Source organism: Homo sapiens, chromosome 2 (assembly GCF_000001405.40).
Source record: "Homo sapiens chromosome 2, GRCh38.p14 Primary Assembly".
NCBI classification, from domain to species: domain Eukaryota; kingdom Metazoa; phylum Chordata; class Mammalia; order Primates; family Hominidae; genus Homo; species Homo sapiens.
Window position 1 is genome coordinate 196,968,183 of NC_000002.12, and position 27,416 is coordinate 196,995,598.

Genomic DNA, 27,416 nt, shown 5'->3' on the forward strand with positions numbered 1-27,416 from the left:
AAGATTTATTCCAAGAGGAAAATTAACTGTGAATTATCAGAAGAGACCAAATGTGGAAATGGAATTGGTTGACGGAAAATATTAGATTTCCTCAAGGATGTTACTGAAATTGGCTCCAGGAATGGTTCCACAAAGGGCCATTGGCAGGGAGAGTGTACCAAGGAGTTTATGTCTTACTTCACAGATAAATTTCACAGCATCATCATCATCTTTATTTATTTATTTAACCACAAGTTTGTGACAGTGTATAATACAGTGACTACCAGTATTGTTCCAGGATACTGACATGATTTGTGCCAGTTTTGCCCATTATAATACTTGCCTTGAACAGTCTGGACTGCCCTGCCTAGTGGGAGGAGGAGGATCAGAAAGGAGGATGATGCACAGCCTGACCCAGTGTTTTTAAACAGCTAAACATGCCCCAGTAGAAGACACATTCTGAAGAATTTCCTCTTCTCAGCTCTCTGAACATACCTCATTTATCTGGGACTTGTACATGGACATCATCCTTTGGACTCTCCTGGTCACTGATCTCACAGCTTGTTCTACTCTTAAGCCTTTGCCTTGTCTTTCTCTTGGCTGTCACATTAATAGCTATCATCTTAACTATTGCCACAATTGCATCACTTTTACTATTGTCTTTCCATTTTGAGCTTTCACGCAGGCCCCCCTGTCTATATTCAACCTGTAGGCAGTCCTCTCATCTGCTGGCCTGGCTTCAAGGACCATTAGTGCTTAAATATTCAGCAAAGTGACATCACCTGGAAATGTTGGTTAATACTGATTTTGAAACCTGGGAATTTTCTCAGAAGGAACCAGATACAACTTATTTATACATATGTGCCACTCATACATTCACTTATTGAATCATTCAGGCACTGTGTTAGGTACTGAAGAAATATGTGTGGAGTAGAAAGGGAGGCAACAGATACATGTAACCTAAATAAAACCTAGGACCCACATGGCTTAGTCTCTTTGTGGGAAACCCAGTTTAGTTTCCAAATGCTAATTTAAAATATACTTCAATATTTATTTAGCTTCTCAAAGAATATGAAAGGAGTCTCAATTCAATTTGTCATATTTAGAGACTTTGATTACCGAGAGGTTCTCATGTGCTAATCTTCCCAAACTCTTTCCCACCCTGGTGGCAAGACCCTTTCTCTGAGTTCTCCATTTGTTCATAGATTTGGCTGCTTTCACCAGACCCTTGCATTTTTCTTCTTCATTTTCATTCCTGTTTTTATACCACTTTTTATTCTTCCACTCCAGAAAAAAAAAATCCAGAATTTGACAAACAAACTGTCGTTTGGTATGTGGCAGGAAGGAGGTAGGGGATGAGGAGCATTGGCACAGAACATTTTATCTCTATCACACAGATGTAATCACATAATTACAACAGAAAGTGATATACCAGCTACATTGCTAGTGGCATCTACATTGCTAGTGATATACCATCTACATGGCTAATGGTAGATTTAATCAAATGACAGAATCATGGGCAATTTTAGTTCTGAATTTATGTTGGTTGTTTTTGCAATAAATATTTATTTTAAGACATTGGAATGCATAAATAAGGATTGGGAGGTAAATCAATCATTCTATTTAATGCTACGTTAATAGTGTTCAGAACCAGCTCTAAGCTCCGCAGCTAAGGAGTAATGAAGAAAATCTGGAGGTGCTCCAATAAGAACCATCAAAATATTAAGAATTTAAGAATATATCCTTTTAGGAACAATAAAAGGAACTGAACTTAGCTTAAAGGTTTCTTCAACTGTAAAACATGGAGATTTGACTCAGTAATTTTAAGATCCCCCTAATAGGGACTTCAAAATTTTAAAGTGGAGATAGGGGGACTTTAAAATCAGTCTTGTGTTAACTCTACATTTACTACATTTTTTCAGATAACTTTCCATGATCCTAAATTTGTCATGCTGCGGTTAAAGCCCGTTTACTCTCTTGCTCAGAGGAGAATGGGCACATCTCCTTAACCTCTTCTGTCTGGAAGAAATTCTTCTTATGATGGAAGGACTAAGATGCAGTCAGCCTTCAACCATGGTTATTCCTCAGCATCTTCATATGCTGAGTTCACTGTTTCAGATGCTGTGGGTAGTTGGCAGTTTCTCTGTTGACTAACGGATCTAGTCTCAGAACAAAAAAAATGTTAGAGCTGGAAGGATATGAGAAATTACTGAGTCAAATCTCCGTGTTTTACAGTTGAAGGAAGCTTTAAGCTGTTTGAGTTCAGTTCCTTTTACTCTTCCTAAAACTGTGTATTCTTAAATTCTTAATATTTTGATGGCTCTTATTGGAGCATCTCCAAGTTTTCTTCATTACTCTTTAGCTATGGAGCTTAGAACTGGTTCTACTGAACAGTATTAACATAGCATTAAGTAGAATGATTGACTTACCCACCCCCCCAATCCTTATTTATGCATTCCAGTCTCTTAAAAAAATCTTTATTGCAAAAACAACCAGCATAAATTCAGAACAAAAATTGCCTGAGATTCTGTCACTTGATTAAATCAATATTTCTTTTTGAGACATGGTCTCACTCTGTTGCCCAGGCTGGAGTGCAGTGGTGTGATCAGGGCTCACTGCAGCCTCTACCTCCTGGTCTCAAGTGGTCCTCTCACCTCAGCCTCCTGGGTAGCTGGGACTACAGGCATATGCCACCACACCTGGCTAATTTTTTGTATTCTTTGTAGAGACGGGGTTTTGCCATGTTGCTCACACTTGTCTCAAATGCCTGGGCTCAAGTGATCCTCCCGCCTCGGCCTCCCAAAGTCCTAGGATTACAGGCATAAGCCACCACGACTGGCCAATATTTTAATTTTTTCTATGTTATCTTATAGCCCTTGTCCATAGGCATATTCAATGTTTGCATATTTTTTTTGCATATAAACCAATTTTAATTCTACATTTTATATTTTCACTTAACATTATGTCATGCACATCTTCCCTTTAACTACAACTTTACCATTCCTTATACTTTCTTCCTATAACATTATAGAGTAGGTCCTGACATAACTTTGCTTGTGATCATACAAAATGACACCTATAAACAATATGTGAATTTTTCATTGATATCATTTGAGATTACAACCATAAACATTTAACTGCAACTTGCTTTTTCAAACCATACTTGATATTTCTTAACCACATTTATTATTATTTTTATTATTATTATTTGTTTGAGACGAGTCTCAGTCTCTCACCCAGGCTGGAGTGCAGTGGTGCGATCTCGGCTCACTGCAACCTTCCCCTCCTGGGTTCAAGTGATTCTCGTGCCTTAGTCTCCTGAGTAGCTGGGAGTACCGGCATGTGCCACCATGCCCCACATTAATTATTTTTAACAGCTGCATTTTTTTTCATAGTAGGGATATACTAGAATTACATTAAGATTTTCTTGAGTTTTTTCTACTACCAAAAAATGCAATAAACATTTTGGCATGCGTGTCTCTACTTTTCTAAAGGAGTAATATTTAACTCATACATACCAGAAGAGGATACTGGCTAGCAGTAAAACTCTTAGACCTGGGCCCCCTGCTAGTAAAACTCTTAGACCTGGGCCCCCTGCTAGAAGACAATTGCCCTGGCCCTCCTCCAGTTCAGGCTCTCCCCATGGGGCAAGGAGTCTGTGAGCCAAAGGGGATGCATCCAATTGTAGTCTGTGACCCCCTTTTTGACTAGTTTTATACCCAAGATGATGAAATAGCCTACTCAGAGGTCCTGAGCCCACTTACAGGCTTGCATGGATCTCTATCCCAGCTCTGTCCTCTTGAGGGAAGCCTGCGCCACCACTGCAAACACCTCTAGGCCTCAAGTGTAGCCAAGGAGTGTTTGAGGGTACAGACAGAGCTTGGTCATGCAGGCTGGGGGTTTGTATGACTACATGCAAGACTCCTCTCAGTGAGGGAGGAGGATAGGAGTAGGAAGACAATGAGGGTGAGTCATGAGCCACAGGTTGAAGATGGGAGGCTACCTTCCCAGTGCTACCATGGTCAGAGAAGGGCAATAATTTTATTTTATATTATTTTTTGAGACAGGATCTCGCTTTGTTACCCAGGCTGGAGTATGGTAGTGCAATCTCAGCTCACTGCAACCTCCACCTCCCAGGTTCAAGCAATTCGCATGCCTCAGCCACCTGAGCAGCTGGGACTACAAGCGTGTGCCACCACGCCCGGTTAATTTTTGTATTTTTAGTAGAGAGGATTTCCTTATGTTGGCCAGGCTGGTCTCGAACTCCTGGCCTCATGTGACCCACCCACCTTGTCCTCCCGAAGTGCTGGGATTATAGGTGTTAGCCACCATGCCTGGCCAGGGCAATAATTTTAAATTTGAATAGTTCTTGCAGGTTGTCATGAAGGGATGTTTGTCAAAATATGGTGATAGAACATATTTGATTTAACAGATTTTTAGCTTGAATTTACAGCAAAGTTTAAGTATATAATAGCTGATATGCAAGTCTATATTTGTAGCCTGCCCAGGACTTGAGAATGTTAGGGGCAGGCCTACTAGTCGGTGTCTCTTTTGATTAGGATTTTTTTCTGATTGGTAGGTATCTGCATCATACTAGTTGTTAAATATCTTAAATATCACCTTGCTTATTTCTCTTTCTCCAGCATAGATTCCCTAAAGTATGAGTGCTTGTTGAAAGGGTATGTATAATTCTAATGTTAATGGATATTGAAATCTTACCAGATTTTATCATTCACATTTAGCATCCCTGAAATTGGGATGCATCTTATAATTAAAGAGCAGAAAGCATTGTGTCATAGTTTAATTGGCAGTGTTTTTCTTCCTTAGATAAAATAAAGGTGCATCCTTCAATTGCTATCTTAGATTTGATGAAATAAAGTATTACCCCCATTGGAGCAATTCCTATACCCACTACCACTGTAGGAGAGTTCCTGTTTTTCAGCCAGCACCATTTATTATCACTGTTTTCAATATTTTGGGTGAAAAATAGTATGCCATTATCTTTGATTTGGATTTCCCTGACTATCATTGATGTTGAGATTATAAAATATACTTTTTGAATATTTAGATTTCTTTTTCTGTAAAGTATTAATTTATATCCTTTTCCTATTTTTAAAATTGTGTTTTCTGTGTTTTTCCTATCACTTTATACAATCTCTTAATATATTATAGATATTAAACTTTAAACTATCATTTTTATTAAAAATATTTCCCTTTCTATCATTTGACTTTAACTTTGCTTATGATGATATTACCATCCAAAATTTCACATTTTTATATAATCAAATATATCAATCTTTTAATTTATTACTTCTGCTTACAGTATCTCCCCACGCAAAGGATGCACATGAACCGGAGATTTAAAAAAATCTTTGAACAACATCAAAGGATATTCAGTGAAAATAAGTCTCCTTTTCATCCCTAACCCTGGTTTTCCCAGTTCTTCTCACTAGAGGAAACACTGGTAACAGTTTCCTTATTGCCTATAAGGGAATATTCTCTCTATATGTGTATCCCCCTCTCATGCTTGTTTATATTCACAAATGGCAGCAAACTATACTCACTGTCTATTCTTATTTGTTTACTTAATAACATATCTTTATATACAGACCATATCATTCCTTTTAAAACTTCCATGATTTCCTATTGCATTCTATTGCCATAATTTATTAAACTAGTCTCCACTGAGTTTCATGACGTTAAACATACATCTCTACACTGAGACCCACCATGGTTATTAGACTTTTATGTTATCTGTGAAGCCCTTTCTTAAGTTGACATTGAAATAAGCCTTGATAAACTTTAAAGTATTGAAATCATACAAAGTATATTCTCTTGCCATATGGAATGAAAGTAGAAATCAGTACGAGATGGAAATTTGGGAATTTCACAAATATGTGGAAATTAAACAACATACTCTCATACTCTTTTTTTTTTTTGAGACAGCCTCTTGCTCTGTTGCCCAGGCTAGAGTGCAGTGGCATGATCATGGCTCACTGCAGCCTCTATCTCCGAGGCTTAAGCAATCCTCCCTGCTCAGCCTCCTGAGTAGCTGGGACTACAGGGGTGCACCACCATGCCTGACTAATTTCTGTGTTTTTTGTAGAGACGGGGTTTTGCCATGTTGCCTAGGTTGGTCTTGAACTCCTGAGCTCAAGTGATCTGCCTGCCTCAGCCTCCCAAAGTGCTGGGATTACAGGTATGAGCCACTGAGCCTGGCCAAAACAACATATTCCTTAATGACCAGTGAGTCAAAGAAGAAGTTACAAAGGAAATTGGAAAATATTTTGAGAACAATGAAAATGAAAATGCAATATACCAAAACATCTGGGATGTAACTAAAGCAATGCTAGGAGGAAAATTTATAGCTGTAAACACCTATATTTAAAAAGAATATTTTATATTAAGATTCAATAACCTAACAACCTTAAGAAAATAAAAAAGGAGGACAGGTGCCGTGGCTCATGCCTGTAATCCCAGCACTTTGGTAGGCCAAGGCAGGCAGATCACCTGAGGTCAGGAGTTTGAGAGCAGCCTGGCCAACATGTTGAAACCCTGTCTCTACTAACAATACAAAAATTAGCTGGGCATGGTGACACACACTTGTAAGCCCAGCTACTTGGGAGGCTGAGGCAGGAGAATCTCTTAAATCCAGGAGGCAGAGGTTGCAGTGAGCTGAGGTCATGCCACTGCAATCCAGCCTAGGTGACAGAGTGAGACTCCATCTCAAAAAAAAAAAGAAAAAGAAAACGAAGAGTAAACTATACCCAAAGTAAGCAGAAGAAATAAAATAATAAAGATTAATTACAAATAACAAAAATAAATGAAATAGAGAACAGAAAAACAATAGAGAAAATTAACACAAGTTGGTTCTTTGAAAAATCAGCAAAAGTGACAAACTTCTACCACGACTAAAGAAGAAAAGGAGAAAAGACTCAAATTAGTCAAATCAGAAATGAAAGAGGGGACATTACTACTAACCTTACAGCAACATAAAGGATTAGGGAATACTATGAAAAATTGTATAGTACAACAAATTAGATCATCTGTGTGAATAGACAAATTCTTAGAAAGACACAAATTGCTGAAACTGACTCAAGAAGAAATAGATAATAGATCTCTAACAAGTAAAGAAATTGAGTTAGCAATAAAAACAAACAAAAAAACCCACAAAGAAAATCCCAACACCAGATGACTTCACTGGTAAATTCTATCAACTTTCAAACAGAATCAGAATGATAAAAATCTTTTTCAAAATAGAAGAGGAAGGAACATTTCTGAACTTATTCTTTGAGGCCAGCGTTACCATCACACCAAAACAAGAAAAATACGTCAAAAGGGGCTGGGTGCGGTGGCTCACGCCTGTGATCCCAGCACTTCGGGAGGCCGAGGTAGGTGGATCACGTGAGGCCAGGAGTTCAAAACCAGCCTAGCCAGCACGGTGTCACACTGTTTTTTTTTTTTAAAAAAAATACAAAAATTAGCCAGGTGTGGTGGCACACACCTGTAATCCCAGCTACTCAGGAGGCTAAGACATGACTGCTTGAACCTGGGAGCTGGAGGTTGCAGGGAGCCGAGATTGTGCAACTGCACTCCAGCCTGGGTGACAGAGCTAGTCTCTGTCTCAAAAAAAAAAAAGAAAAAGAAAAAAGAAAGAAAGAAAGAAAGAAAGAAAGAAAGAAGGAAAGAAGGAAAGAAAGAAAAGAGAAAGAAAGACACATCAAGAAAAGAAATTGATATCCCTTATGAATATAGTTACAAAAGTCCTCAACAAAATATTAGCATATAGAATCCAACAACATATAAAAATTATTATACACCATGATCAAGTAGGATTTATCCTATGTATACCAGCTGACTGAACATATAATTGAACCCCTTTTCTTAATAAAAACACTCGAGAAACTAGAAATAGAAAAAATTTCTTCAAACTGATCAGGGACATTTGTGAAAAACCCATGGTAAACAAAATATATTATATATATATTGAGATGGAGTCTCGCTCTGTCGCCCAGGTTGGAGTGCAGTGCAGTGGCGCAATCTTGGCTTACTGTAACCTCCGCCTCCCAGGTTCAAGCAATTCTCCTGCCTCAGCCTCCCGAGTAGCTGGGACTACAGGCACCAGCCACCACGCCTGGCTAATTTTTTGTATTTTTAGTAGAGACTGGGTTTTGCCAAAATTATATTTAATAGTGGGAGACTGGATTCTTTCCCCCTAAGATCAGGAACAGGGTAAGAATGTCACTCACACCACATCTATTCAACATTATAGTGGAGGTTCTAGCCAGGGAAATTAGTCAAAAAAAGTAATAAAAGCTATAAAAGTAATCATCCTATACAGATTGGAAAAGAAGTAAAACTATCCCTATTTGCAGATGACATGTAGAAAATTTTTCTTACATGTAGAAAATTTTAAGGAATCCAGCTGGGTGCAGTGGCTCATGCCTGTAATCCCAGCACTTTGGGAGGCCAAGACAGGTGGATTGCTTGAGCCCAGGAGTTAAGATCAGCCTGCACAACATGACAAAACCCTATCGCCACAAAAAAATACAAAAATTAGCAGGGCGTGGTGGTGCACGCCTGTAGTCCCAGCTACTTGGGTGGCTGAAGCCAGAAGGATCACCTGAGCCCAGGAAGTCGAGGCTAAAGTGAGCCATGATCATGCCACTGCACTCCAGCCTGGACAGCAGAGTGAGATCTTGTCTCAAAAGAAGGAAGGAAGGAAGGAAGGCAGGAAAGAAGAGAGGGAGGGAGGGAGGGCTCTAAGGAATAGTTTTTCCACTGAAAAACTATTAGTGTTCACAAGCTCAGCAAGGTTGCAGGATAAACGATCAATTTTTAAAAAACAATTGTACTTCTATATACTGGCAATGAACAATCTGAAAATAAAATTAAGAAAACAATTCCCTTAACAACAACATCAAACAGAATAAAATATTTAGGAATGAATTTAACAAAATAAGTGCAAAACTTGTATACTGAAAACTAGAAAGCACTGTTGAAAGAAAGACTTAAAATAAATGGAGAGACATCCCATGTTCATGGACCAGAAAACCTAATACTGTTAAAATGGCAATACTTCCCAAATTGATCTACAGATTCTAAGTATAAGAGCTAAATCTATAAAATTCTTAAAAGAAAACATAGGAGTAAATCTTCATGACTTTGAAGTAGACAGTGGTTTTCTAGATATGACACCAAAAATATGACTTCTGTGCCTCAAAGGATACTGTCGAGAAAAGGAAAAAACGACCCATGGAATGGGAGAAAATATTTGCAAATCCTGTATCTGATAAGGGACTTGTATTCAGAATATATAAATAATGCTTATAATTCACCAATAAAAACACAACGTGATTTAAAAATGGGCAAAGGATTTGAACATACATTTGTCCAAAGAAAATATACAAATGTCCAATAAGCACACAGAAAGGTGCTTGACATCATTAGTCAGCAGGAAAGTGCAAGTGAAAACCACAATGAGATATCACTTCACATCTACTAGGATGGCCATAATAAAAATAAATGAGGAATAAGAAGTACTGGCAAGGAGGTAGAGAAATTGGAACTCTTATACATTGCTGATGGGAATGTTTGGCAGCCTCTGCGGAACAGTTTGGCAGGTCCTCAAAATGATAAACATAGAGTTACCATTTCCACTCCTAGATATATACACAATTCCACTCCTAGGTATATACACAAGAAATCAAAACATATGTCCATAAAAAAGTCTGTACACAAATGTTTATAGCAGAGTTATTCATGATCGCTCAAAAGTAAAAAAACAAAAACAAAACCCAAATGTCCACCAACTGATGAATGAATAAACAAAATGTGGTATATCCATATAATTAAATATTATTTGACTATAAAAGGAAATGAAGCACCTCTATATGCTGATACAGTTTGGATGTTTGTTCCCTCCAAATCTCATGTTGCAATATTACTATAATCCCCAATGTTAGAGGGGGGCCTGGTGGGAGGTGTTTGGGTCATGGAGGCAGATCCCTCATAAATGGCTTGGTGCTGTCCTTAAAATAATGAGTGTGTTCTTGCTCTGAGTTCACAGGAGACCTGCTTGTTTAAAAGAGTGTGGCACCTCTCCCCTCTCTCTCCTGCTCCCCCTTCACCTTCCACCATGATTGGAAGCTTCCTGAGGCCCTCACCAGAAGCAGCTGCCAGCACCATGCTTCCTGTACAGCCTGCAGAATCATGAGCCAAAATAAACCACTTTTCTTTATAAATTACCCAATCTCAGGTATTCCTTTATAGCAATGCAAGAAGAGACTAACACATATATTAAGACATGTATGAACCCTGAAAACATTCTGCTTAGAAGCCAGTCACAAAGAGCCACATAGTGTATTATTTCATTTACATGAAATGTCTAGAATTGGCAAATTCATAGAAACAGAAAGTAATTATTGGTTGCCAGGGGATGGGGAGAGAGAGAGAATAGAGAATGACTGTTAATGGGGACAGTTTTTCTTTCTGGGGTGATGAATATATTCTGAAATTAGATAGTAGTGATGGTTACATAACTTTTTAAAATCACTAAAAACCATCAACGTGTATCCTTTAAAAGAGCGAATTTTATGTTATGTCAATTATATCTCAATGGAGCTTTTTTTTTTCTTTTTTAATGGCTGCTGATTTTGAACCATGGGCCATAGTTTACCAACTCTCTGTTGTAACCAATATTTACAGACCCTGAAGAAAGGCCATCCGATATTGTTTTAAAAAAAAAAAAGGCGACAAAAAAGAAAATAATAGTAACATCAAGCATTTTGTTTTCTTTCCAAAATAGATATAGCATAGTCGTAAAGATTATTAATTCTGGAGCCACTTGACTAGATTTGAATCCTAGATCTGGCACTAATTAGCCATGAGTTCTTGAGATAATAATAATATCTACCTTCTAGAGTAGATGTAAGAATGAATAGCATCTGCAGGCGCCAGGCACGGTGGCTCACGCCTGTAATCCCAGCACTTTGGGAGGCCGAGGCGGGCGGATCACGAGGTCAGGAGATTGAGACCATCCTGGCTAACACGGTGAAACCCCGTCTCTACTAAAAATATTTTAAAAAATTAGCCACCTGTAGTCCCAGCTACTCGGGAGGCTGAGGCAGGAGAATGGCGTGAACCCGGGAGGCGGAGCTTGCAGTGAGCCAAGATCGCGCCACTGCACTCCAGCCTAGGCGACAGAGCGAGACTCCGTCTCAAAAAAAAAAAAAAAAAAAAAAAAGAATGAATAGCATCTACTTTCTAGGGTTGTTTTAAGGATGTAAAGCACTCAGAACAGTGCTTGGCACATTGTAAGCACTCAGTGAGCATCAGCTATTTTTACTATTCACCCCAATTAAAAAGCAGCCTGAGTAATTTAATAAGATGACTTTTTTTTTTTTTTTTTTTTTTTTTTAAGACAGAGTTTGGCTCTTGTTGCCCAGGCTGGAGTGCAGTGATGCAATCTCGGCTCACCACAAACTCTGCCTCCCAATTCAAGTGATTCTCCTGCCTCAGCCTCCCGAGTAGCTGGGATTACAGGCATGTGCCACCACACCCGGCTAATTTTGTATTTTTAGTAGAGACAGGGTTTCTCCATGTTGGTCAGGCTGGTCTCGAACTCCCAACCTCAGGTGATCTGCCCACCTAGGCCTCCCAAAGTGCTGGGATTACAGGCATGAGCCACCGTGCCCGGCCAATAAGGTGATTTTTATTTGCAGTTTAAAGGTTTTTAAAGGTTTTTGTCACAACCAGCATCTTAGCAACACTGTCCCCTGCTCCACACCATCCAGGACACTCTCAGATCACCAGGCTGGCGGCAAGGAAAATGATCATTAATATACACTAGAAAATATGTTCTTATCTCTAGGAACTATTGTTAGCACTCTGAAAGGCTTTTCTTTTTCAATATCTGAATGACATTGCAGTAAATTAATTGGTTTTCTCAATCTAATTTCTAGTGTTAGCTGTAACATCACAATGCAAGCACCCAGATGGCACCAACCGAGCCCTTTATCATCATTTTTAGCACTGATGCCAAAAGGAAATGGGCTCAGCAGCCTAATCAAAATTTACATGCTAATGGGTAGACCCTTGTGAATGAAGTTAAGCAGAAAATCAATAAATTACCAGGTAACATTCTCCTAACAAAATTTTTTACAAGTTTTAAGTAATAATAAAACAGTAAGGAGTAAATTTCAGGCCTGAAGAAGAATGTGAAATAAAACATGGAATGGATAAATCATTTCTGAAAAAAAGAAATTCAAAAGGGAATTAGAAACCCGTTAGCTTTCTATTTATTTAGTTTAAAATTGAGATTTTTCAGGAAAAGTTAATGTTTTAAAGCAAATTTAATTTTCACCTAAACAGCAATATAGAATTCCAATAATTTCAGTCTTTTGTCCTCTGCAGAAGGCCCGCTGGGAAGTATTCAATTTTTCATTGTTATCACTAAGACGTTGTCTGAACCACACTCTCCTTTTGTTCATTCTGCAGCTCTTTGCCATCTGTCATGTTTTCTGGAGAGCCTCATAAACACATTTAGGTTAAACCATATGGTCATAAAACCTGTCATTCTGTCATAGCCAAGGTTTGGTTAGTTTTTTAATAGAAATGCACTTGACCATTTTTACTTTGTTAAAAGCTTCATCCTAATCCTGGAACCGAATTTCAGCCTGACAGTAAATCAGCTCTTAGTATCCATCTACTTAAAGTAAAATACCTGAATAATAGATGTTTTGAAGTAGTTAAATGTTCTCATTTATTTTGCTTCAATTCTATGATAAATAGCTTTTCCTATTTGTCATGTTGGCCTCCTCAGATTTTTACTTCTTCACATCCAATGCTTTTTTTTCTTCAGTCATTCTCAACCACCCACTCCCATGGTTATATCCTTTGCTTTGTCATCCTCAAAACTATACCACCTGTGAAATCTTTACTTTGGGCACTCCACATCAAGATCACCAACTCTGGGGCTACAATTCAATAATTCTGTCTTATCCTGACCCCCATTGACTACCACTTTTTCAGTATCCATCACCTCCCTCATGTTTTCACTTTCTTCCTTACCCAGTTTAGAATCCATGATCTACATAATCACATCCATTAAAAGCACCACAGTTCCATAACCCTCTCTCCCTTTGGACTTACCTAGCAAAGCTCTATACCAGGTTAAATTCCACTGTCTTCTTACTCTATGCCTACACCCAAACATCTGATGAAAAAATCCACCAGGATGACTGGTATCATTTTAGATTTATGATTATAAATCTTGAGTGTACTAAATCCTACTCAGTAACCCTCCTCTGTTACTCTAAAATGTTCTCTCCAGGCTGGGCGTGGTGGCCCACACCTATAATCCCAGCAGTGTGGGAGGCTGAGGCAGGTGGATCACCTGAGGTTGGGAGTTCGAGACCAGCCTGGCTAACATGGCAAAACCCCATCTCTACTAAAAATTTTTTTAAAAATCCGCCAAGTGTGGTGGTGTGTGCCTGTAGTCCCAGCTACTTGAGAGGCTGAGGCAGGAGAATCGCTTGACCCTGGAGGTGGAGGTTGCAGTGAGCTGAGATCGCACCATTGTACTCCAGCCTGGGCAACAAGAGTGAAACTCCATCTCAAAATAATAATAATAATAAAATAAATACATAAATGAACTCTATCTTGCCAAATCCATTGGTCAACTTCTCTGCATTTGACTTCCCAGAAGCAATTGAGACAATAGAAATCACTGACACTCCTTCTTCTATGACCCTTTATTTCCCAGGTTTCAGGGACATCTTGGTCTCTTGGTTTTCCTCCTGCCTCTGACCATTATGTCTTGTCTTCGCTGCTAGATCCTCCTCCTCCCCTTCCTAACCTCTAAATGCTGGAGTGTGCACAGTTCAGGGCTCTTCTATCATTTATTCCTGAGGGAATCTCTTCTCATTTGTCAATACTAAAAAAAATTATATATATATATATATATATGCAGAGACAAATCTCTAAGCAAGAGGATTTTATTTGAGAGTAATATACAGAAAGTAGGCTTGCAATAAGGACATGCACACAGAGACCAGGGCAGTTTCCAGTGTGTCCAAAGAACAAAGGAAAGGGCTGGAGTTTTATTGGGAAAGGAGAAAGAAGATGTAAGTTGTTTTCAAAGAAAGTTAATTGGCGATAGCAGAGTGGGCGCTGGTGAGCTCTGATTGGCAGGTGGCAGCAACTGCTAGGTAAAGTTCGCCTTGAAGTCATAGCAGGCTGTTTCCTTGGAGTAAACTTGCGAGACAGTTTTTGGAAGACGTTTGTGACCAGAGTGCTCTTTCCCAACAAAGGCTCCTTGACTCCATTTTCATTGGGTAGGACAGGAATGACTCCAAATCAACTTTCACATGTCTACAATTTCATATGATCCCAGCCCTGGCTTCTTCCCCAAACTCTACTGTTTACTTGACTCAAGCCATCAGCAAATTCAGTCAACTCTACCTTCAAGACATATCCAAAATGTGTCACAGTCTCTTCATTTCCCTTGTTGCCAGACAATCCAAGCCACTATATTTACTTGTCTAGGCTATTGCAGTGGCTACCTAATTGGTCACTAGGGTTTCTCTCTCTTGTCTCTCAACAGCAGCCAGAGTGATCTTTTAAAAATGAAATCACTGGATAAAGAAAATGTGGCACATATACACCATAGAATACTATGCAGCCATAAAAAAGAATGAGTTCATGTCATTTACAGGGACATGGATGAAGCTAGAAGCCATCATTCTCAGCAAACTAACACAGGAACAGAAAATCAAACACCACATGTTCTCACTCATAAGTGGGAGTTGAACAATGGGAACACATGGACACAGGGAGGGGTATATCACACACCAGGGCCTGTTGGTGGGTTGGGGTAAGGGGAGGGAGAGCATTAGGACAAATACCTAATGCATGCGGGGCCTAAAACCTAGATGACGGGTTGATAGGTGCAGCATACCACCATGGCACATGTATACCTATGTAACAATTCTGTATGTTCTGCACATGTACCCCAGAACTTAAAATAAAAATAAAAAATAAAAAATAAAAATGACAGAAAAAAAAAATCAGACCACAGCCATTTTTCTGCTTACATTTCTCCAGTGGCTTTTGTCACATTCAGAAAAATATAGAAACTCCTCCCAGCTCACAAAATTTTATGTCTGGGCTGAGATCGCTGTTAATCTTCTGCCACCCTCCCTTTCCCTTGAGTCTCCAGCCACACTGGCCCCATTTCTGTTCCTAGAACATAACAAACTCATTCCTGCCTTTGGGTATTGGCACTAGCCTTTTCCTCTCCCTAGAATGTTCTCTCCTCTGATCTTTGCATAGCTGGTAATTTCTTGTGGTTAGGATCTGAGTTTAAATGTTAGTAATTCTTAGGAACCCCAACTATAAAAAATATAAATAAAGTTCACGAATTTGCTGGGTACTTTCAACTCAATGCAAACACAGGTAAGCTTTTTGTGCTCTAAAAGTACTGCTTCAGTATTTTTACTTTTGAAAATTATAAAATTCTTCCAGAATGTAATACACAGTACTTCATTAAATTGACATTTAAAAGCAGAAAATAGTATCCTAGAAATTGTGTCCACCAGTGCCTAGAGAACCCTGTGAGGCTGAAGTACTGTGTTGTCAGAGCTTGCCATGTGACGGTGGGCCAAGTGCCCCACCTTTGTGAGCAGGAGTTCCCCCCACTGGGAAAGTAGATACAATCACCTCTTGCTTAAGACAAGAAATATACATGTGTATGGCCACATTTTGGTTTGATAACAAAGGAATTAAAGATGCCTTGATCTGTGCAAATCTTCTCCCCTGGAAAAATACATAACCAGGGCACATGTGCTCAGCATTGCCTTCCAAAGTTCTTTCTCAACCTTGTAAGTTCTCGTTCTGAGGGCATATAAAGTATGTTTATGCAATCCCTTGTGAAAATAGATGAGGCAATATGGCTAGTGTCATAAGCAATACATTGATGAAGAAATGATTCAGAAACAAGAGAAAGGCAAATAGGTGAGCAGTGGGGTAGAGGAGCATTGACATTCTAAGTGGCGCAGTTATTCCCTGGGTTGAGTGGCACATTTGGTCTCCCTGGCGCTTGGAACTATAAATACTCTAGTAGCAGCCCTGCCCACCCCCCAGCCATTGTGCCAACTACAAATGCCCACACATTTCCAATCACTCCCTAGAGTGCCTGAGAATTAATGAATGGCACAGCCATTATCTTGGTGCTTTATATTTTACAGCAAATGTACCTTCAGGATGAAATTTGCTAAAGAGACAATTCATATAGTACTTTTACCCACAATGTTTTTATGTTAATAGCCTTTTAGCTTAATGCTTTTGTGCTTTGCAAACTAATTCTGGAACACATTAAGTGTGTTAAGTGAGGGATACTTATACAGGGATCTAAACCTACCAAATGGAATTAGCGTGAAGGAACCTTTGACAAGCAGTTTGAAGACAAAGTGCCACATCAATGTTCAAAAATATAATTACCACAGTGGAGGCCATTATCACATTTCTCTGCTTATGAGAACACAATTAAAATTAGGGATCTCTACATTTTCCTTGAAAGGGTGAGTTCAGTCAGTCAAGCAAGCAATTTCCTTAGCAATGACTGGGAAGAAGGTGTATTAGTATGATGTTACAGCCTCAAAGGACACCGTGATAGACCAGGGTGGCGAGTAGCTTCCAAAAATGGCTCCTAGTAATTGCTGTTCCTGCTGTTCACACCCTTGGGGAATCCCTTGCCCTTGAGTATAGATTGGACTTAGTAACTTGCTTCTCATGAATAGAATATGAGAAAAATGATGAAATATCACTTCTGAAATTCAGTTGCAAAAATCTGTGACTCTGTCTTGCTCTTTGTCTCCCTGGCTTTTCTCAGCCTGCTCGCCCGCAAGGCAAGCTGCCATGTTGTGAGCTTCCCTATGGGAAGGCCCATCTGGCAAGGAACGGACGGCAGCCAACAGCCATCAAGGAACTGAGGCCCTCAGTGTAACAACCCATGAGAAGAATCCTGCCAACAACCATATGAGTGAACTTAGAAATGGATCGTTCCCAGGCCAACACCATGATTACAGGCTGTGAGAGACCCTGGAACAGAAGACCCAGCTAAACTAGGGCTGACTCATAGAAACTGTGGGTTAGGAAACATTTGTTGTTTTAAGCCACTAAGTTTTGGGGTAATTTGTTACACAGCAATAGATAACTAATATACCCAGTCTACTCTAAACAACAGGAAGCACTCACTTGTGGTGTGACTCCTGTTTTACATTCTTTAAGATTGAAAAGCACCCAGATTTGTATATTTGAATAAGAAGGGAGGCAGGGCTGAGTACAAAACCTCCCTTAACATTTCTGGCAGAAAAAAACAAAACATTATATGGCAAGATGGCATCGAAGAGAGAACATCTAGAGGCAGATGTGGTATCATCAGATCACTATCTTCAAAAATTCAAGTTGTATAACTTCTCTAGGATTCAGTTTCTTCCTGAAAGAGCTGGTGATGTGACTGGGCTGGACTGTAATAACTGCTAACATTCTATACTACTTGATTTGGGGAACTCAGGCAGGCACCACCCCCAAGTCTCTTCGTCAATAGCTGGAAACTCCATCATTAGGAATTTGTTCCTTAGTGCTTCCAGAGACTGTCCCTGAAGTTACTACTCAAGATGAAAAATTTTGGATGGTGAGATAGATGGGGAAGGAAATTCTATGGATACCTTTAAGGATAGTGCAGAGATGGAGGTTCTTGTGTTGTTATAAAGTCCCTGAAGGGTAATGGTGACAATACCAAAGTTAGGCATGGTTGATTTCACAATTTTGAGGACCTAATAAGCTTCCTCTTTTTTGATGTGGACTATATAACTGATCACATTTCTCCTCTTACCTTGGCTGCAAGGAAGCTGAGAGCAAACACAAGTTCAGTCACAGATACTGTTTTAAATTTTATGGTTCCTTTATCTGTTTGTATTCTTTTTCTCTGTTCTCATTTTTCTATTTCTAGTTTATCACGTCTTTTGTCATAACCCAGCTCAAATCCTTTATGGGCCAGCCTGGGCAATATAGTGAGACCCCATCTCTACAAAAAAACAAAATTAGCTAGGCATAGTGGTGCACATCTGTAGTCCCAGCTACTCGGGAGGCTGAGGTAGGAAGATTACTTCAGCCCAGGAGGTCGAGGCTGCAGTGAGCCGAGATCTCACAACTGCCCATCAGCCTGGACAACAGAGCAGAAAAAAACAAAACAAAACAAAACAAAACAAAACCCTTTATGGAAAAAAGTTGGAAGCATAAATACATATAATAAACACAAGCATATATGTTTGAATTTTTTCTCTAATTGTGATAACACAAACATAAATCGTGAATCTGGAGATACACTTTTATCTTGATTATTTTCTAAATTTAAAGTTAATTTGGCTTGAGGGGGTGCAAAGATTTAAATTAGCATAATTTAGAAAAAGCATAAATTGGAAAAATTAAAACACAAATTCCAACAATATTTGTACCGTTTTTATTTGTAAAAATAACCATCTGAATGCATTTCCATAGTATATTACAGTTAAGTACTTCATTACGTTATTAGAGCATTCAGTAGTTGCAAAAGTATTAAACTGTGCTTGAGAAGATTCAGATTGTTTCAAAGTCATTCACTGAACTAAAAGTCATTTTCCCCATTTTTACAGTCATGACATTTACCAGAGTCATTCAACTCCAATTTACATAAGAAAACATTATAGACAAAATCCCACTGAAATCATCAAACAATATTTTATGCTGTTACAAATATGTTATGCAAAATATAACACTGGCACCAGATTTGTATCATCGTGCTTTACAAAGATATATTGCACATGCTAGAGCATAAAATATGTAGACAAAACTACCAAATAAAAGATATTTGCATTGAATTTTTAGATCACATAAGAAACGCATAGAATTACATTTTATACAAACACTCAGATTGTCACTATCTTAAAATGCTTTTCCCCTATAATACTGACCTATGGTTTATAGTTTCGTAAGACGAAAGCATTTTAGCACTGCAAAATCAAACAATTCCTATAGAAAACTTAAGCATTTTCATATTCATTTCAATGCAAGTACAAGGGGAAATAGGAAAAAAGACACTTTATACATTCAAAGAAAAGTTGAAATGAAAACTCACTGGTATCATATTGCTCTGATAACACTCAAATGAAAAAATACAAAACATTCCACAGAACATTTTCAGAATATACAAATATAAAAAGGCACTCTAACTTCATATTACAAGACAATAAAACGGATGAGTTCTTCAACCAACACAACATATAAGCACACCAAGTTGCTCAACAGTACAAAGAATAACTAGTGCAGCAAATCCATTTGATGTTCTTGTTCTAATTTAATAACAAAATGATAAACCAAGCAGTGTTTACTGCCTAAAGTACCAAAACATACTATGGTGCCCTTTTAGTAGTGATAAATAGAAATACCCTGAGCTATTTACTGTAGAATCATAGCAGATTTTAGGCAATTTGGAGATAGTAATGTATTTAGCAAAGACAGGCAGACACTGGCAAATAAGTAAGTGCAATGAAACATGATCCTTGTAGTTGTGGTTAAAATACAGTCTAAAAATAACACAAATAAAAGCACTAAGCAACTAAGACTCAGTTAAAAACACATTTTTTTTTCTTAGAAAGCTATGGTGCAAACATAATTTTATTTCTAAGAGATGTAATTAAAATACAGAAATGATAGTTTTTAAAGTCATTTCTTTAAAAAAATTTTGCCTTGGGGTATGGGAGAAAGAGAAAGAGAGGAAGAGAGAGAGAGAGAGATCAGTTGATGTAATGAACAGTTCATTGTGAGCATGATTTCATTTCGTTCCTTTGTCCTCCTTCTATGAGTAAGAGAGTGGGAAAAGTCAAAACGCAGCTCCATGGAGATAACGTCTCATGGTGAGTCACTGCTTTGCTGAAATGATTCTTGTACTCTCTGCTACACGACAGGAAAAATGTTAACGCTGCTTTGCCATTAAAGCAAGCATTTCATTTCCTGCTTGAAATGCCAACTGAGCAAGATTTCCATTCACTTCTAGAAAAAGACACCGCAGCATATTGTGCTTCTTCAACACTGAACCTCTCTTAATTTTCAGTGTTTTGGTAAAGATAAGGTCATTATTGCTCATTAGCAATTTATCTGCTTTTTAAAAATTCATCTTCTCTAAACAAACGAAAAGGACAGAAGGTGGGAAGCACAACACCAAGAATTCAAAAAAACAATGGTGGTGGTGTGGAAAATTTTCAGTGAAATCAATACCAGTTCAATAAATCCTTTGAACAAGTTCTCATTTGTGAAGAACCCAACAGGAGTTTTAATTAAATCCAGGATATTAAGAGTAAGATTAAAGTTTTATAGCTAGATGAAAAATATAATACAGTTATCTGTCTTTGATCCAGATATGATAGAACATTATTTTTGAAATATCTCACATACACTATAAAATAGCAATTTCCAGGGTGGAAATGGAACTCATTATAAAACGTCAGAGAGTACTGCTCTAATTCGACACATTTCTTTTCTGTCTCTTCCTCAAGTAGAAAATAGCACTTGAGCTGGTGATTTTTATTTCTCCTTTTGGCACATGTGCCCACACACTGCCATCATTTCTCATCAGGTTACTGAGACTATGTGAGCTTTTCAGTGTACTTAGGGTAATTTCTAGATATTTCTTTGTGCTGCCTTTGTGTATATGATCCACTACACATCTGAGTTTTCATCTCGCAGAAGGGCATCCAGACTGCAATGTCTTCTAAGCTCTAAGCTGGCTACAGACTGTGGCTGAGCAGTAGAAGATGCGTAGCCCTCTCTAACCAACGCGGAAGAACCTGAGGGTCATCTGGAAACCTTAGCAGTGGAAATGCTAGGTTTGGCCCTTGGGCTTTTGGCTAGCCCAGGGTCAAGTGTTTTTTTTTTCACTTTTTTTTTGTTATTCTAAATAAGATACATAGCAATTAAAATAGAGAACAAATAATGGATGTTTCCTCACCATTTGTTTCATTTCAAATAAATATAAACACATTTACAGCAAAAGTATATGGACATTTTCTCTAGTTTGGCAAAAAAAAAAAAAAAGGTCAGCACATCATCAGTTACAAATGTTAAGTGGTCAACTAGAAATCTGTGTCCTAAGAAATATAAAATACAACAAAGACTGGTACACAGAAAGATTACATTTAACTCCATAAAAAAGCTACTTCAGTTCTCACTTGCATTTTGAAGGAAAAAAATGTGTATCTTCCATTTTAGACTGAAGCATTTTGGTCCTCATGTGTAGCTGGCTGATGAACTACACACACACACACATATATATATATATACACACGCACACATATATGTGTGCATGTGTATGTGCATAATTTTTAAAGAGTCTCATTCTTCTTTTTGTACAGCGGTTCCAGGTGTGGAACGGGGTCCATTTGACCTAGAAGCTTTGGCAGAGGGAGCAGACACAGTATTCACTATGTTGATTTCATCATCAAGCAACTGGCAATCGGTTTTACATGCTAAATCACCCATTTCTACTTTCTGCTTTCACTTTTTTTGTTCCTTTTTGCAGTCACACTTTTCACTGACTTGGTATGACCTTGACTGAGAAGCTCATTTTACTACTGATGAACAATGCTGATGATTCTGATGTTTTTTAAAAGTTAGTATTTTGATTTAAGAATAAATTAACAAAGGGTAGTTTCATACTATTTTTGCATATTGTGTCAAAGTTTTGGTGCAATATAATTTTCACCTGAAATGTTATTAGATAAATTTGGGTTCAATCACTTAAGTGAAAATTAGTCACAGGCTTGTTATAGGGAACACTGTGTTAAACAAAAAAAGCAAGTTCAATTTTTCAATTCATCTGGCAACTTTAACAGAGATCCTCAGAAAGAAGTTCTGGATATTCAAATGCTTACTATAGAGAGGATATAAATAGTTGGACTCTCTAAAAAGATTATTACAGGCATTATTTCTGAAGATGGACACCTTTACCTTTGGCTTCTAGTGAGGAAGTAAACATCAAAGTGAGAAGAAGTTTGAGGCATTTCCTATCTGCCTCTTCCCTTCCCTCCCAGGGGACATGAATGTCACACTGATATACTTCTGAGAACTCACTGCTAAATACATGAAAAGAAAAATTATTCATAGCGAACAGCTGCCTCTCTGCTGCATTATCCCCAAAGAACAGGAATTAAATACATCTTTTATTCTTTATTTAAAATGAGAGGTAGACTTTCACAGAAGTATCTTAGATTTAAAGAAAATGTGAAACAAAACAAAACTGGGGCCATCTGTGTGACTGTTCCACCCAACAGCCTCACTGCCCTCCCTCGATTAATTCCTTCTCTACTAGCTTCTGGAAGCCCAGGCCCCAAATAATACTTGAATACAACATAAACCTGGAATTCAAGCTTCTTTCCTTTCCTCCAACACAGGTGATCAAAGAAAAGCTTCTACAGTCCAAAGTCAAAACGTTTCCGAATCAGAATCATTTTCATTGTACCCATCCTCCGAGCCTACGTTGTTACTGCACAGGCTAACCATGCTACCCAGATTGGAGAGGGTCGTCCTGCTCAAATTGTCTTTTTTTAAACAAACGAAGTTGACAGCCATCATTGTACTGGAAGGAGAAAAAGGCATCATGGTAGCCAAAATGAGGGCCAGGCAGTCAGCCACGTCTTTGTTAGGAGCGCAAGCCAGGGCCGGGGTATGACCTGGGCGTAAATGCAGACAAGGCAGTGGTTAGTCCTGGGGAGCCTAGAGGAGGCACGAGCATTCCACAGTACATCTCGGATGATCTCACAGGCGGAGATGTATGTTGAGTTAGAAATCATGCCAGGTAAAACGAGGAGTTACTTCTCACAAGTCATGCTAGGGGTGAGGCTAGAGGGGGAGGGAGGGGGAGACATTTTATGGAGGGCTTTTTATTTTTGTTTTCAGCTCATATGACTATGACAAGCACAATATCATCCAAAGTTAGGCAGGATTCCAGCCTTCATTTAGTGAACACAAACACAAGGGGGTGGGTGTGGGACACAATTCCACAATAAACAGCAACAGGACAATCAGGAGGATGTTTCCGCCTGAGAGCACACACACACCATGAGCCTCAGGCCTGGGCCTGAGAAGGACTCTCATTCTGAGAACAATGACTTTCCATTGTTAGGTAATTGTGTGTCCAATTAGAAAAGATATTGAAAATTAGATGACTGCAAAAGTGAGTAATGAAGTTTTGTCACTTTATATATGCTTCATAGAAAATAGACACCAATAACTGGTTTTAGAAAAATGGAATCATTTCAGTAGATCAGAGACAGGAAAGCACAGGTTGTTTGTGATTAAAAATGTACAATCATTTAGGAGAAATTTAACAAATTTTTTTTTTGACAGAGTTTCACTCTGTCACCCAGGCTGGATTGTAGTGGCATGGGGCCTTGATTTTACTACAGCCTTGTCTTCCGGGCTCAAGCAATCCTCCCACCTCAGCCTCCCGAGTAGCTGGGACTATAGGTGTGTGCCACTACTACCGGCTGATTTTTTCTTTTTTTGGTTTTTTTTTTTTGAGTCAAGGTCTTGCTATGTTTCCCAGGCTGTTCTCAAACTCCTGGGCTCAAGCGATCCTCCCACCTTGGCTTCCCAAAGTCCTGGGATTAAAGGCGTGAGCCATCACACCTGGCCTAACAGAATATTTAAAAATGGCCACTCACCAATCAAAGTCTCAAATCTAAAATGTAATGGATGTGAGAAAATTACTATGCTTGTCATAATTAGAACCATGTTATTCTCATTTAGACTCAATGGATCCAATCCAGATAAGAAAACTGTCTTAACTCATAATATAGGTTCCTTGGGGAGGTAGATTAAGTCTTTGACTTGATTATTTCCTTATCCAACCTTTATCCTACTGGCCTGAAAAGGGTTAGCTGCCTTCTCAGCTGGCCAAAGTTTCCACTACACAGTGAGTAGGGCACTTGCTCAGTAATTCAGAGGAATGGCTCAATGAAACTTAACGTTTTGTTGTTTTGTTTATCATCACTCGACCTGCTCTCCCCACCCTGCCCTTTAGGACATCATTCCTTTTTCTGGTATGAAAACAAATAAGAATGAACAGGTAGTTTAACATTCCATTTCACGAAAGTCAGTGATGAGTAAAGGAATTATGGTTGTACTGCTATATAAAATTGCCCCAAACGTTCCCAGGCCTTTGGGATGCAGGTGCGCACCAACCCAGGGCTCTTGTTCCTAAGGTCACTATCAGCTGAACAAACCTTCAATGCAGCAGATTTACACCAGGAAAAGCAAAACTAATTTATTCTATTCTCTTTGACCATTTTGGAGAAAAACTGTGGGCCTCTGCAGGCCAACCCTAAGTCTACAGTAGTGTTAAGAGGGTGAGGGAAGGTGAGGCGGGAAAACCAAGGAAATGGAGTAATAGGGAACTTTCTGCACTTCCTAGATGAGTCAGGTGGGGGACACAGCAGGGTACATGCTAGGATACATGGGGCTGCAAAATCAAAACTAATAAGAGTTAGCTAATGATAATCAGTATGGCTGCTTACTTCTGAGAAATAGGCATGAGCTGCTAATTCCAATACCTGTAATAAGCAGTTAATTGAGTTACATTAATACATTATAATACTTTAATTAAATGCCACATTTTAAAAATTACATAATTCATAAACATCCAGAAGTTCCTTTTTTGCTCCCCAAGGTTAATAGGCATTGTGCTTAAAATGGCAGTTTAGTACAATTCTAGTAGCCATTCCTTTCAAAATTTCTTAGGAAGCAGAGTAGAAAGCTTCTGTTAAGAATTAGTTCATTAGGAAAGGAACATTAATACAGATCAGGGGAAGCTTCAAGCCTAGACGTTAATTAAGAAATTTTACTCTTGTTCCTCACATTTCCATACTGGGAATATGAGTTCTGATCTGTACTTAAAGAAAAAAAAAGTTTGATCTCAGAATGAACTTAAATACAATCAAAGATCCAGGTTTTTATTTGAGCCCTTGAGCATGCATTAATGACATGTGTAGTCCCTAACTCTTCAGCATTTGCAGTTAAAATTTTGAGTGTCAACTTGAAACTCTTAGTGTGTCTAAGATATTTTAACCACTGTGCTGAGGAGTTAGAGACCAGCTGCTGGCATTACATGCAAAATGGACAGCACTGGGTGGCCTACAGGTAGACTATGTGATTTACAAAAAGACAGACAGGACAAGTTATCCTTGCTTGATTTCTCACACACAGGACTTCCAAGGGGGACAGAATTCTTAAGTGCCTTTTATACTAGCTCCTATCTTTCTCATTTCCTCTGGCTTCAACTAGCTTATGGAAGGTACCTGCAGTCGCTGTTGACTTTTTCCACTTACCATTTTCATCTACAGCAAGTACACAGGCCCCTTTGGCCAGCAACTCCTCAACTACCACCTTTAAGCCATTGCGCGCAGCGACGTGGAGGGGTCTAAAAAACACAAGACCGAGCATCAGTTGTGATACATATTTGGGTGAGAATGTGGAATTTTTGTTAGCCCATGTCACTAAAAGGAAGAAGTACTTAGACTCTACAAATAGTACATGGATGTTTTTACTTAAGAAAAAAAAATGCTGACCAGATCTTTTCCAGGTGCTAATGGTCCAACTGTTGTTGTATGTTTGGCCCAGATCTTGCTGCAGATATTACAAATATTCTGCATCTCAAACAATCTCAATGACAGTAAATACGAAGACAGAGGAAGAACTCAAGCTTTGTTGTGTTTTGCAGAAGGCCCTTTACTGCTTGATTTCTAACACAGCATTTGAATCACTGTTTCACACAGTTCAACAATATGACTGGCATTAATATCAGTCATATATATGTATAATTTCAAACTTCCTTGTTACTACTAAATGCACACAGATGTTTTACTGAATTTATAATACCTTAAAGAATTATGTCAAACTCAGTATATTGTGCTATATACTGCTTAAGAATCTTTTTCTTTTTTTTTGAGACAGGGTCTCACTCTGTCACCCAGGCTGGAGTGCAGTGGCACGATCACAGCTCACTGCAGCCTTGACCTTCTGCTGGGCTCAAGTGATTCTCCTGCCTCAGTCTCCTGTGTAGCTGGGACTACAGGTGCAAACCACTGTGGCTGGCTAATTTTTTTATTTTTTGTAGAGAAGGGGTTTCATCATGTTGGCCAGGCTGGTCTCAAACTCCCGGGCTCAAGTGATCTACTTGCCTCAGCCTCCCAAAGTGCCGGGATTATAGGCATGAGCCACGACACCCAGCCAACAGTCTTCTTCTTCTTCTTCTTCTTTTCTTTTTTTTTTGTGGGGGGACAGTCTCGCTCTTGTTGCCCAGGCTGGAGTGGTGCAGTGGCACGATCTCAGCTCACAGCAACCTCCACCTCCCAGGTTCAAGTGATTCTCCTGCCTCAGCCTCCCAAGTAGCTGAGGTTACAGGCACCCACCATCATGCCCAGCTAATTTTGTTGTTGTTGTATTTTTAGTAGAGACGGGGTTTCACCATGTTGGCCAGGCGGGTCATGAACTCCTGGCCTCAAGTAATCCAACTGCCTCGGCCTCCCAAAGTGCTGGGATTAAAGGCATGAGCCACCACGCCCGGCTTAAGAATCTTAAATGAAAAAAATTCCTTTGCCTTTAAAACAAATGCATAAATAATTTCCTAAAGCGGAAAATGAAACAGCTTTTAGATCTTTCACACCAAGGGTTACACTGAATTATATTAAAATATAATCAAGACAAATAGCTTAGAAACTCTTCAAATGTATTCTGGGAAACTGATTTGCAAAACTGTCATTTTCCAGTCAGAATACATAATGCTAATACATAATACAAATAGTTTCCCCAAATATGTCAGTCCATAAAATTTTTCTAACAGCCCACTAAATTTATAATATTACCCCAGAAATATCAGCAAAGAAAAAGAGAGACTTCACAAAATTAAATGAAGACATATCAAAAGAAGGATTCTAACTAAAACTGCCCAGCTTGGTCAGCACTTGTAGGTATGTGACTGTCACCTTCATGCAGGGGAAGCCAGGACTGCATCTTTCACCACTGTGCTCCCCAGAGCTAGTCTGGCACACAGCAGGCTCTTAATACTTATTGAATAAATGACTATGACCCTGGGTTCAAGTCCAACTTTAGTAGTTACACTTACGTCTGCAGTGCATTATTTTTTTCATTAATAAGGCTCTCGTCTTGTATCTTGTCAAGTATTAACAAGGCACATTTTTCATGACCCTAATAAAGAAAAAGAATGATAAGAAATGCAAGATAGAGACACAGAAAAGTTACTGAGAAATTTCTTCATTATGATTTAAATTGAAAATGAATGTCGTCTGCCTAAGAACATTCTATAGGGCTATTTTCTGAGTAAT

At 38.8% G+C, this 27,416-nt stretch overlaps 1 protein-coding gene across 16 annotated transcripts in view; it reads right to left on the minus strand.

The window, feature by feature from the left end:
* Nucleotides 1–27,416, minus strand: part of ANKRD44 (ankyrin repeat domain 44) — a 343,767-nt gene that overhangs the window by 1,169 nt on the left and 315,182 nt on the right. For 5 of the 16 annotated variants that reach the window (NM_001367497.1, NM_001367495.1, XM_047446282.1 and 2 more), the window contains 3 exons: nucleotides 27,197–27,279; nucleotides 25,401–25,492; nucleotides 18,480–22,745 (listed from right to left, as the gene is read on the minus strand). In NM_001367497.1, the coding sequence (NP_001354426.1) occupies nucleotides 22,498–22,745; nucleotides 25,401–25,492; nucleotides 27,197–27,279 (423 nt within the window). In that variant the 3' untranslated portion in view covers nucleotides 18,480–22,497. Of the gene's footprint in view, nucleotides 1–18,479; nucleotides 22,915–22,964; nucleotides 24,627–25,400; nucleotides 25,493–27,192; nucleotides 27,280–27,416 lie in introns of those variants that run through there. The other 11 variants (NR_160034.1, NM_001195144.2, XM_005246947.3 and 8 more) reach the window with 6 other exon arrangements.